The following is a 12,471-nucleotide window of genomic DNA, read 5'->3' as shown; positions in this document are numbered from 1 at the left end:
GCGAGCGTAGGCCCAGGCGCAGCCCCTCTGCCTGCGGGACTGAACAGGCAGGTGCGTCCCAGCGGCCGGGCGGGCCGGGTCTCCCTCCTGCGGGCAGGCGCCGCGCTGCGGGGCGCGGCTGGCGGAGCGGGGCAGCCGGGCGCAGCGCCCCCTGGGCCTGAAGACTGGCGGGCGGCGGGGGCGCGCGCAGGCCGGCGGGGGCGCGCCGCGCTGCGAGGCCTGCGCGCCAGGCTGCGGGAGCCATGCGGCGATCGAGGAGCTCTGCGGCCGCCAAGCTGCGCGGGCAGAAGCGGTCCGGGGCCTCCGCGGCCCCCGCGGCCTCCGCGGCCGCTGCCTTGGCACCCAGCGCCACCCGCACACGGCGCTCCGCTAGCCAGGCCGGGAGCAAGAGCCAGGCGGTGGAGAAGCCGCCGTCGGAGAAGCCGCGGCTGAGGCGCTCGTCGCCGCGGGCCCAGGAGGAGGGCCCGGGGGAGCCGCCGCCGCCTGAGCTGGCGTTGCTCCCGCCACCGCCGCCGCCGCCGCCGACTCCCGCGACCCCGACGTCCTCGGCGTCCAACCTGGACCTGGGCGAGCAGCGGGAGCGCTGGGAGACGTTCCAGAAGCGGCAGAAGCTTACCTCCGAGGGTGCCGCCAAGCTCCTGCTAGACACCTTGTGAGTGCGGCGGGCCGGGGGGCGCGGGAGCCGTTGCCACGCGGACCCCCTCGGCAGGAGTCGGGCTCGCAGCCCGCGTGCAGGCCTTGGGCGCCTTTCAGCTCTGAGCCTTCCACGTTACGGAGCCGACGCGGCTCCCCCGTTAGCACTGGGGTTATTCCTTAATTCTAAGGGCGGCGGGGCGGGGCGGTGCTTCTAGGGCTGTGTGGCCTGGGAATGGAAAGGGGGCTTCGTCCGGAGCTTGAGGGCGCGCGCAGCCGTCTTGGGACACAAAGAGTCTTTCCCGGCCATAAGCATCGTGCTCGGGGACGTTGTCTCTTGCTGGCGCGCAAAGGGTGTGGGGGCCTTTCTTAGTGAAAAGAACATAAATCCCACGGCTTTCTCTTACCCGAATCCCCTTTTTTTTTGTGTTTGCACACGTGTTTTTGAGGGTGGGTGGAAGGGAAAGGTAGAAGCGTTGAAGGAAGCATGAATAGTTTTGAACTCACTGGGAAGCAAAATCCCGTCATTGTTCCAGGCACTGCCAGGGAGGGAGCAGGGGGCGGAGGTTATTGATCCGGGAGAGAAGCGCGCGCGAAGAGATGCTCCGGCCTCGCGCGGCGGCGGGGATACCTACGTAGGGAGGCTTTTATGTGCTCAGCCAGCTAATGCTCCCTGCCGCTCGCCCTCCTGGCTGCTCCGCAGTCTTTTAGATGGCCCGAGGAGCATCTCGAGTGTCCGCGATTTGGGAAAGAGCTTTTAACTGGGCTGTTAAAGGGCTGCCTTCTTTTCTCCAAATGCGATCTGGATTCCTGCCTCGGGGAACAGTTGTGCTACAGAGAGATATTTTAACGCCCTGATATTATATTTCAGTGTCAATTTTACGAATTAAAAAGAACAATCAAAACACTAGGGGGAAAAAACCGACAAGAATAACCTAGCAATTGCATAACCTGAGAATTACTTCTTTTCTTGAACATGTTCCTTTGAGCTTCTTGCGGAAGAAATTCTCTTAGGATGAGTCGTCCCCGACAGAAGATACATATTTGGTTTTCTGTGTGCTTCACTTTTTGGTTTTTCATCTTGGACTGCACACTGAATTTTTAAAAAACGTTCATCCATCAAACATTTGAGCACCTATAGGGTGACGGCTGCCTCTGGGCAGAAGGAATACGAAGATCCTTAGGAATGTAAAACTCATGGTGTCTTCAAGGCATACAGAAAAAAAGAAGAATGTAAAACTCAAATTTGAGATAAATTTTTATTTTAAGACAAACTGATAAATGGTCAAGAAAAAGTTTTAAAATATTGACATAAAAAAGCTGTTTTTCTCCCACTAGATTGCCATGACTTTGTACTTATAAAGTCTACTAAATTATATTCAAAAAGTGTGTATAACTGTACCATTTTCGTTAAAATATTGTGTAGAAAAAAGTTTGGGGGAATATATAACAAATAATTAACTGTAGATCCCTCTGGGTGTAAAGATTACAGGAGGCTTTCACTTTGAGCACTCTCAAATAGTGTGAAGTTTGGAGTTTTTACAATAAGCATTATGTGTGCAGAAAAAATTAAAATACATAAACGTAAAGAAACATGAAAAAATGATCAGTCTTAATCATGCAAATTAAAACTGCAGTGAGCTATTTTTCCTATAATTATTGCCTGAGACTGTACAGTGAAATGTTTTCTCATTTATTTATCGGGTAAGGGTGTTCAATCCTTTTGGAAAGCGATTTTAAGACATTTATCAGATCTTAATGTTCATTTCTGAGTTTGGCTTATATATAAGCTTTAAAGGGTTAAAATTGTATGTAGGCTGGGTGAGGTGGCTCATGCCTGTAATCCCAGCACTTTGGGAGGCCGAGGCGGGTGGATCACCTGAGGTGGGGAGTTTGAGACTGCCTGACCAACATGGAGAAACCCCGTCTCTACTAAAAATACAAAATTAGCTGGGTGTGGTGGTGGGCGCCTGTAATCCCAGCTACTCGGGAGGCTGAGGCAGGAGAATCATTTGAACCCTGGAGGTGGAGGTTGCGGTGGGCTGAAATCGCGTCACTGCACTCCAGCCTGGGCAACAAGAATGAAACTCCCTCTCAAAAAAAAAAAATTCTATGTAATGTGTATTACAACTATGTAAAACGCATGTGTATGAAGAATACTGGAAAGAAATAGAGCAAAAATATAAGAGCCTTTATTAAGTTTCTCAAAAGGCTCTTCTGGACCTCTGGACTTGATTGAGTACACAGTCTTATTTTTCATAGCAGCCTGTACCTCCTTTATCACAATCATAATTAATTATTATTTGAGTAAATTGTTAAGGTCGGTAAGGGTAGCAATCGTGTCTGCTGTATCTTGTTTAGTGTTCTCTCCTTCGTGCCTAGCTCATAAAAATATTTAGTATTTGAGGCCCGGAGCAGTGGCTCACGCCTGTAATCCCAGCACTTTGGGAGTCCCCGTGGGTGGATCACAAGGTCAGGAGTTCAAGACCAGCTTGGCCAAGATGGTGAAGCCCTATCTCTACTAAAAATACAAAATTAGCAGGGCGCGGTGGCAGGCGCCTGTAATCCCAGCTACTTGGGAGGCTAAGGCTGGAGAATTGCTTCAACCCAGGTGGCAGAGGTTGCAGTGAGCCAAGATCGTGCCACCGTACTCCAGCCTGGGCAATAGACTGAGACTCCATCTCAAAAAAAAAAAAAAAAATTTAGTATTTGACATATAAATAAAAATGTCTGGTGGTGGGTTAGGATCCCTCACATTTTCGAAATGTTTGGAATGTTTTATTTTGCAACTTAATATAATTTAAGAAATTGGTGAAAAGAGAGCTCATGGACAAAGAAGGTGCTGAAACCATTCTTCACTTAGGAAATTGACAGTGCCTCCTTAAAAGCAGAAATGCATCTGGTTGTCATGTAGAAAAGACTTTTGTCTAATCTTCTGTCTTTCTTTCAGCAACAAAAAGAGAGCAGGAGGCAGCTATTCAGAAATTATTATCTTTCTGATTTTTGTTTCATTTAGTGAATACCAGGGCCTGGTGAAGCACACAGGAGGCTGCCACTGTGGAGCAGTTCGTTTTGAAGTTTGGGCCTCAGCAGACTTGCATATATTTGACTGCAAGTGAGTATTTTTTTTTCCCTAAATTGGCTTAAAAGAATTTCAGAGTTAAAATGCAATATTTCAAAATAATCTGGGGAGTTGGGGTACAGAGGAAACATTGGCCTTGGGCTGGTAACTGTTGAAGTCAGGTGATGGGGACAGAAAGGTTCATTGTTCTATTTTTGTTCCTTTTATATGGCTCATCACAGAGCTTCAACAGCATGGCCCAGGTGACACAGAGCAGGGTCCTCAGGGCTTGTGGCTTGTGGCAGCATCACCCTCAGACTGACACTGCTGAGGAGCCGGGGGCGGTTAGCTGCAGGTGTGCCTGGCTGGGTACTGAGTGGAAAGCCTTGGGCAGAATCTTCATAGAAGTCTAGAGTTGGGGAGAGTTGGAGGGTATGTTAGTAAAGGGTGTATACACCTGGAGGCTCCCCAGGCCCTCCACTCTCGCTCTGCTCTTCGGTTGAGGCAGATGGCACTGCTGGCTGTGGAGGGCCTGATTTGTACCACCTTCCCCGGCGTTATGATGGAGCAGGGACGACAGGCTCTGGCTTTGGGACCCAAAGTTGGCATGCAGCTAATTATTTAACAGCATCCAGTCCTTTTTGCCCCTAGGTACCGGAATTATATATGAATAATAAGCACATACGATGGAATTACTCAAATGGAGAACTGACCAGGCTACTAACAATAGAGTCCAGATTGGAAAAGAAGCACTGTGGAATAACTTGTGAGAGGATTCTGTGCTAAATTAGAACTTTTTCAAAGGTGGCCTGAAAAGAGGGGACTTCAGTTTAATTCCAGAGATGGTAATTCTGGGGACGTGTTTTACTTGGAGCTGGACTTCTTGTGACGTGGTGATGAAGAAAGAGGGAAACCTAAACTTCCTTGTCCATTTTTGGTGTGGATGTCTCAGAGACATCAGGTTGTAGCAGTGTCTGAAATTTGTTTCCTAAGTGTCTCTGAAGTCCAGCGCTTCTCTTCACTGTAAAGAACTGAGGGGTGGGCAGTACAGACCTGTCTGTTGGTCCTGTGTTCTGAGCATTGCAGAACCTCGACTGCTGACTTGGGACCCCCCTGGGCTCTGCTGTACCTGCAAACCAGAGGCACTGCTATCCAGGCCTTTGCCCCAGCTCCTCGGCCCTGGATGGTGCTGAAAGGGGCATCATCTGTGGGGTCGGCTGGCTCTCATGGCTGGGCCGCTCAGGCATAGAGGATGCAGGTGGCTGCTCACAATCTGGAATTTGCTCTGTCTTTCTGTAGTTGCAGCATTTGCAAGAAGAAGCAGAATAGACACTTCATTGTTCCAGCTTCTCGCTTCAAGCTCCTGAAGGTCAGTGCTTAAGAGCAGGGTCAAGGAGTGCAGAACCCATTGGTGAGATTTACAGGACCCCCCACCCAACTGTTAGCATGCCGTCTGTAGCATGGGAGGGGCCTGGAGCATAGCAGGGCCTCTCACGGGCTTTGGTTTCAGGTTGACATTTAAAAGGTGGGCCCGGCACAGTGGCTCACGCCTGTAATCCCAGCACTTTGGGAGGCCAAGATGGATGGATCACCTGAAGTCAGGAGTTGAGGACCAGCCTGGCCAACATGGTGAAACCCTATCTCTACTAAAAATACAAAAATTAGCTGGGCGTTGTAGTGCATGCCTGTAATCCCAGCTACTTGGGAGGCCAAGGCAGGAGAATCACTTGAACCTGGGAGGTGGAGGTTGCAGTGAGCCGAGATCACACCATTGCACTCCAGCCTGGGTGACGAGTGAAACTCCATCTCAAAAAAAATGAAAATAAAAAATAAAAGGTTGTGTTATTTTTTACCTTTATTTTTTGGAGGCCTATTTGGTATTGTGGAAACATTTTCAAATTCAGAGAATCAAAAAACAATAAAATCACCCAAATCCTGTCAACTAAAGGTAACCACTGTTAATATTTTGGTGTCTGTCTTTGTGTATTATTTTCTACTCTGAGAAATACATCTAAACCTATTGTCTTATGTTTATTAAGTAGAATTTTACCATTCTTTTTGTTGATAAACTGCTTATCTCATTTCCCAATGAAAAGCTTATATACTTATTTGTAACTTTAATTTTATTATTTTGGGGAATTTTTTGTACTTGGTACAAAATTTGAAAGGTAGAAGAAAATGTGTATATACACAGTGAAAAATCTTTCCCTACTGTCCCCATGCCCCAGTCTCCCTCTTCCCCACAGCCGATTTCCTGGTCTACTTACCCCATCACTGTCTCTGCATCATTGCAGTTGAGTCCCGTTTTTTTCTGATTATCAACAACACTGGTGAACCTCCTTGGTATACATTTTTGACAATTTAGAAATTTCTTCTTTAGGATCAATTCTCTTAGAAATAAGTTCTCTGGCTATTCTGGGCACACTTCCTACACCCTGCTCTACAAGGAGCAGTTAAAAAAAAAGAGAGAAAGAAAATCTCCAGGTTAAAGAATACAGATTTTTTAAAAAAGACTTTTAGCACATTATGGGTAATGTGGGGTTGGGCGGGGCTTTAATTCCATCCAGATAATGCTGGATGGCTTGGGACCACTTGGCAGTCCTTCGCTGCTTTTCTGTGCTGCAGTGGCTATGGAGTGAGCAAGGCTCCTCAGGGAGCTATTTCTATAGGAAGCACAATTCTGGACGGTATGGCTGGGGAAGCGTAAAGAGGGTTAACAAGGATAAGAAACCTCCACCCCTTCCCCTTCAGCTGTCTGATTTCTCTCCCTAAAGGTAAGCCACTGTTTCTTGGATCCCTCTTCAAAGATACATATGCATATAAAAGCACATACAGGCCAGGCACAGTAGCTCATGCCTGTAGTCCCAGCACTTTGGAAGGCCAAGGCAGGCAGATCACTTGAGCCCAGGAGTTCAACACCAGCCTGGACAACATAGCGAGACCCCCATGTCTACAAAAAATAAAAAATCGGCTAGGTGTGGTGTTGCATGCCTATAGTCCCAGGTACTCGGGAGGCTGAGGTGGGAGAATCACTTGATCCTGGGAGGTCAAGGCTGCAGTAAGCTGTCGTCATACCACTGCACTCCAGCCTGGATAACAGAGTGAGATCTTGTCTCAAAAAAACAAAACAAAACAAAACAAAAACACCACACATACCAGTATATAGCCTTAAAAAAAAAAAAAGAAATGGTAGCATACCACGTACGTTGTTTTATACCTTGCTTAACTTTTTTTTTGAGACAGTCTCACTCTGTTGCCCAGGCTGGAGTGCAGTGGTGTGATCTCGGCTCACTGTAACCTCCGCCTCCCAGGCTCAAGTGATTCTCCTGCTTCAGCCTCCTGAGTAGCTGGGACTACAGGTGCCCGCCACCACATCTGGCTAATTTTTACATTTTTAGTACAGACAGGGTTTCACCATGTTGGCCAGGCTGGTCTTGAACTCCTGACCTCAAGTGATCTGCCCACCTTGGCCTCCCAAAGTGCTGGGATTACAGGCGTGAGCCACTGCGCCTGGCCTATACCTTGCTTTACTTTGTAACTTTGGCAATTGTTCCATGTTAGTTTTGTAGAGCTGTCTCATTCTTCTCAAAAGTTGGAGAATATTTCATTTTATGAGTGTCCATAATGCCTAACCGGTCCTCTATTGAGGGACATTTTCAATTTTTCCAATCTTTAGCCTTCATAAACAGTGCTATAGTATCTATATACCTATGTCATTGAGACATTTGGAATATATCTGTATAATAAATTTCAAGAAATGGAATTGTGTGCTAAAGCATATGTACACTTTAAAATTTTGGTAGATGTTGCTAAATTGTACCAATTCCTGTTCCTGTGACTGATATATGTGAGCACATATTTCTCTACATACTTGTCAATACCATGTTAACGGCTTTGATTTTGCCCACCTGACAGTGAAATACATCTCATTGAAGTTCCTTTGGTGAGCATTTCATAGGCTAAAGAGTGATTTATTTTTCTTTCTATCTGAACTGTCCGTTCATGTCCTTTGTCCAGTCTCCCGTTTGTATTATCCATTAAGGAAATTAGCCTGTCTATGACGTCTGGCAAATATTTTTTTCCTGGTTTGTCCTTTGTGGATAAATTAAGCACAGCCATCAGTTTTCTTAAGACCTTGAGCCGTTCTGTTTGGGGACATGGAGAGCCAGTCCCTTGGGTGAACTGTCTCTCCACATAGGCCCTGGGAAGCAAGCACTTTCCCTCCCTGATGTGATGTATCAGGGAAGGCTCAAGGCTGAATTCTGTATGCCGTTGACCTAAGGGAAGCTGTGAGCTGTCACGCTCCAGACTGACATGTCTCTGGATAGTGTAGATGGGTCTCTGTCCTCAAGAAGGTCCCAGTCTCTTCTGGAGATAGGAAATGGCCTCTTAGTACAAAGAGCCCTACAGAAGAGCTCCTGCCATTAAGTTATTTCAAGATTTTTTTTTTTAATGGTGCGATCTCAGCCCACTGCAGCCTCTACTTCCCCAGGCTCAACTGATGCTCCTACCTCAGCCTCCCAGGTAGCTGGGACTACAGATGTGTGCCACTGCACCTGGCTAATTTTTATATTTTTTTGTAGAAACAGGGTTTTGCCATGTTGCCCAGGTTGGTCTTGAACTCCTGGGCTCAAGCAATCCGCCTGCCTCGGCCTCAAAGTGTTGGGATTACAGGCATGAGCCACCATGCCTGGCCAAAGGTGTTTTTTTTTTTTTTTTTTTTGAGACGGAGTCTCGCTCTGTTGCCCAGGCTGGAGTGCCGTGGCATGATCTCGGCTCACTGCAAGCTCGGCCTTCCAGGTTCATGCCATTCTCCTGCCTCAGCCTCCCGAGTAGCTGGGACTACAGGCGCCTGCCACCACACCCGGCTACAAAGGTGTATTTTTTAAGTGACATAAAAATAAATGTCTTTGGGGCCAGGCGCAGTGGCTCACACCTGTAATCCCAGCACTTTGGGAGGCCAAGGTGGGTGAATCATGAGGTCAGGAGTTCGAGACCAACCTGGCCAACATGGTGAAACCCTGTCTGTACTAAAAATACAAAAAATTAGCTGGGCATGGGGGCACGCGCCTATAATCCCAGCTACTTGGGAGGCTGAGGCAGGAAAATCTCTTGAACCCATGCAGGTGGAGGTTGCAGTGAGCCAAGATTGCGCCACTGCACTCCAGCCTGAGAGACAGTGGGAGACTCTGTCTCAATAAATAAATAAATAAATAAATTAAATAAATAAATCTCTTTGTAAAAAAGAATACCGTTTGTCTGTTTTCACCTAGGGAGCTGAGCACATAACGACTTACACGTTCAATACTCACAAAGCCCAGCATACCTTCTGTAAGAGATGTGGCGTTCAGAGCTTCTATACTCCACGATCAAACCCCGGAGGCTTCGGTGAGTAAAGGGGATGGACTGCAAGCTCAGGGGGACACAGAGAGGCCCATGGTGCTCTCATTTAAAGTCTTATTTGGACAGGTGGGATGCTGACTAGACCCTGTCACATGCGTATCTTAGAGGAACAGGGCTCCTCAGCAGAGCGCTTTCCACATGATAGAATGTGAGTCGGGCTCCGGTGAAACTTTTCTGAATCCCATATCTGAATGTGGTGAAGTTGGACTTGGAGCCCATCCAGGTTGTGATTCTTATTCACTGGTGCTGGTAGAGCTGGTGTTGCTGGGGATGGTGTTGAAGGGTAGGGAGGAGAGGGGTGAGGAGATGGGCTTGTGGGGCCAGGGGAGGCAGCTTTAATAATGACAGGGGTTAAGGGAGTGAAGGAGGCAAGATTGGGGAGCATTGATAATGGCATTTGAAAGCTTTTTGGTTGTTCAAAAATTAGGCAGGACTGGCTGGCTGCGGTGGCTCACACCTGTATCCCAGCACTTTGGGAGGCCAAGGTGGGAGGATTTCTTGAGCTCAGGAGTTTGAGACCAGCCTGGGAAACATAGCAAAACCGTATCTCTGTTCTTTTTAAAAAATAATAAACAAGCAGGGAACCCTCCAAGCCCCGCTTCAGGGCCTGCTTGGGTCTGGGGAGTAATAAAACTAACCCTCTGACAGTTGTTGAGAATCATACCAACTATAGTGTGAATTGAAGGGGAAAGCAGAGGTGGAAGATGTTCTGAGGACTCTTGTTGTGTCAGTGCAGCCTCCAGAGCTGCGAGAGCAGCTATGACTGTCAGTGTCTTTTGCCTTATGGTGGTGGGGAGCGGACAGGGGAGGTGGGGGAGGCAGGGCAGGGCAGGATGTCATCCTTACCGCTCCCCCATTGCTTCAGGGCCTCCTGTTCCTCATCTGTCACATGGAGACTCCTTCCTGTCTACCTTGCAGAACAGGAAAGAGTTGAAAAGTATGAAATCCTGTGCAAATGGGAAGACATTTAATTCTTAGAAAGTTATCTATCTGAGGCCAGGCATGGTGGCTCACCTGAGGTCGGGAGTTCGAGACCAGCCTAACCAACATGGAGAAACCCCATCTTTACTAAAAATGCAAAATTAGCCAGGCTTGGTGGCGCACGCCTGTATTCCCAGCTACTTGGGAGGCTGAGGCAGGAGAATCACTTGAACCCGTAAGGCAGAGGTTGCAGTGAGTCAAGATCACGCCATTGTACTCCAGCCTGGGCAACAAGAGCTAAACTCCATCTGAAAAAAAAGGAAAGAAAGTTATCTATCTAAACACAGGAAAGGCCTGTGAATTCTTCAGGCTGCCAGTCAGAGATTGCTCTGGGCTGTGCCTTTCTGCATGTTGTACTCTCAACTTGGTATTGAATGTTGTCTAGCCTTGGCCAAACCTGGCTCAGGGAGTGTGATTCCCATCTGGCAGTTGAGGAAAGTGAGTCAGAGGGCTGAAGCGGTAGGCTGGAGCCAGTGCTTTCCGAGCCAGCTGGCAGCCTGTGGGTCTCATCACTGAAGCCATAAGCTGTGGCATATCCTTTGGAAGCCCTAATGTGTAGCGTGATGATGCCTGCAGGTGGGGGCTTATCCAGGAGCCGGTACACCATCTGGTCTCACCCATACTGAGGATCCCCCTTTGTCTGTGCCACTTTCTCGTAGGAATTGCCCCCCACTGCCTGGATGAGGGCACTGTGCGGAGTATGGTCACTGAGGAATTCAATGGCAGCGATTGGGAGAAGGCCATGAAAGAGCACAAGACCATCAAGAACATGTCTAAAGAGTGAGCTTCTGCCTCTCCTGCCCTGAAAAGGAGGAATGATTGGGGCCAGCAACTTTGCTCTCCCTGCCGTGCCTCGGTGGTGCTCCTGAATGTGGCTGACCTGGGCTGCTGGTTCCGTTGACTAGGGTCATCTTGATCTCTGCAGTTTGCTCCAGCTACCAGTTTCTTTAGGCAGCTCTTTGTCCTCCCTCTGCCCAGATTTTGATGTAGTCTAATTGACATCCTTCTCTTCCCAACTTTTGTGTGATCTTTTAGGAAAAAAAATAAATATTTTTAACATTAAAGCAGTCACTTTGGTTTATCATTTCTTTTGTACTGTGATTTGCTTCTGAGGCCAGTCGATTAATAGCAGATATATACTCAGCACTATCAAGATGTTTGCCACCAGGCATTGTGGCTTAAGCCTGTAGTTCCAGCTACTCCGGAGGGTTGATCGAGCCCAGGAGGTTGTGGCTGCAGTGAGCTGTGTTCGTGCTACTGCACTCCAGCCTGGGTGGCAGAATGAGACTGTCTCAAAAAAAAAATAAGAAAAAAGAAAAAAATGTGTAGCTAAATTGGAAAGAAGACATAAGATAAACAATTATTAAAAATGGAAGATTGTGGCAGGGCATGGTGGCTCACACCTGTAATCCCAGCACTTTGGGAGGCTGAGGCGGGTGGATTACTTGAGGTCAGGAGTTCAAGACCAGCCTGGCCAATGTGTTGAGACCCCGTCTCTACTAAAATTACAAAAATTAGCTGGGCATGGTGGCATGTGCCTGTAGTCCCAGCTACTTGTGAAGCTGAGGCAGGAGAATCACTTGAACCCAGGAGGCAGAGGTTGCAGTGAGTGGAGATTGCACCACTGCACTCCAGCCTGGGTGATGGAGCGAGACTCCATCTACAAAAAAAAAAAAAAAGGCTGGGCACTGTGGCTCACGCCTGTAATTCCAGCACTTTGGGAGGCCAAGGCAGGTGGATCACCTGAGATCAGGTGTTTGAGACCAGCCTGGCCAACATGGTGAAACCCTGTTTCTACTAAAAATGCAAAAATTAGCCAGGCGTGGTGGCGGGCGCCTGTAATCCCAGCTACTCAGGAGGCTGAGGCAGGATAATTGCTTGAATCCAGGAGGCAGAGGTTGCAGTGAGCCAAGATTGCGCCACTGCACTCCAGCCTGGCTGACAGAAAAAGACTCTGTCTCAAAAAAAAAAAAAAAAAAAAAAATTGTGAATGGTTACAATCCATGTGAGCTGTAAAGATAATAAGAGCTCTAAGAGTTCAAAGGAGAGAACTCAGGGAAGCCTTGAGGAGAGTACGATTTGAGTCTATCTTTAAAAAGTTAAATCAGCTTCTAATTTCTTTTTCAGTTGTAAAATACACATAAAATTTACCATAAACTGTTAATTTATTTAGAGACAGAATCTCTCTCTTTAGTTATTTTGAGACTGTCTTGCTCGGTCACCTAGGCTGCAGTGCAATACATGAACATGGCTCACTGTAACCTTGACTTAGACTTGAGATCTCCCCCCTCTTAGCTTCTGGAGTAGCTGGGACTACAGGTGTGTGCCACCACATCCGGCTAATATTTTTTGTAAAGACAAGGTCACTCCATGTTGCCCCGGCTGGTCTCAAA

At 47.8% G+C, this 12,471-nt stretch overlaps 1 protein-coding gene across 1 annotated transcript, besides 2 other annotated features; it reads left to right on the top strand.

Moving 5' to 3' along the window:
• Positions 1-150: a silencer, noted in NCBI's record as "silent region_8218". NCBI's record gives its function as "represses an Ori minimal core promoter by ATAC-STARR-seq in GM12878 lymphoblastoid cells {active_cell/tissue: GM12878}" and the evidence as "EXISTENCE:reporter gene assay evidence [ECO:0000049][PMID:35858748]".
• Positions 210-11,142, top strand: CENPV (centromere protein V). Its single transcript, NM_181716.3, has 5 exons — positions 210-652; positions 3,650-3,748; positions 4,994-5,063; positions 8,968-9,082; positions 10,738-11,142. Exons 1-5 carry the CDS (start codon positions 243-245, stop codon positions 10,860-10,862), a joined length of 819 nt encoding a protein of 272 aa, NP_859067.2. The 5' UTR covers positions 210-242; the 3' UTR covers positions 10,863-11,142.
• Positions 211-820: a silencer, noted in NCBI's record as "silent region_8217". NCBI's record gives its function as "represses an Ori minimal core promoter by ATAC-STARR-seq in GM12878 lymphoblastoid cells {active_cell/tissue: GM12878}" and the evidence as "EXISTENCE:reporter gene assay evidence [ECO:0000049][PMID:35858748]".
• Positions 11,143-12,471: the final 1,329 nt, after the last annotated feature.

The sequence above is a fragment of the Homo sapiens genome, chromosome 17 (genome assembly GCF_000001405.40).
Source record: "Homo sapiens chromosome 17, GRCh38.p14 Primary Assembly".
NCBI classification, from domain to species: Eukaryota; Metazoa; Chordata; class Mammalia; order Primates; family Hominidae; genus Homo; species Homo sapiens.
The sequence above is the reverse complement of the archived record's forward strand: the minus strand, read 5'-3'. Positions and strand labels throughout refer to the sequence as shown.

What these genes read in the sequence shown, in the direction of transcription:
- CENPV (NM_181716.3), top strand. Translation starts at nt 243, where the DNA reads ATGCGGCGATCGAGGAGCTCTGCGGCCGCCAAGCTGCGCGGGCAGAAG. An exon ending in CTCGCTTCAAGCTCCTGAAG is followed by an intron (nt 5,064 to 8,967) that starts GTCAGTGCTTAA and finishes GTTTTCACCTAG; the next exon opens with GGAGCTGAGCACATAACGAC. An exon ending in ATCAAACCCCGGAGGCTTCG is followed by an intron (nt 9,083 to 10,737) that starts GTGAGTAAAGGG and finishes ACTTTCTCGTAG; the next exon opens with GAATTGCCCCCCACTGCCTG.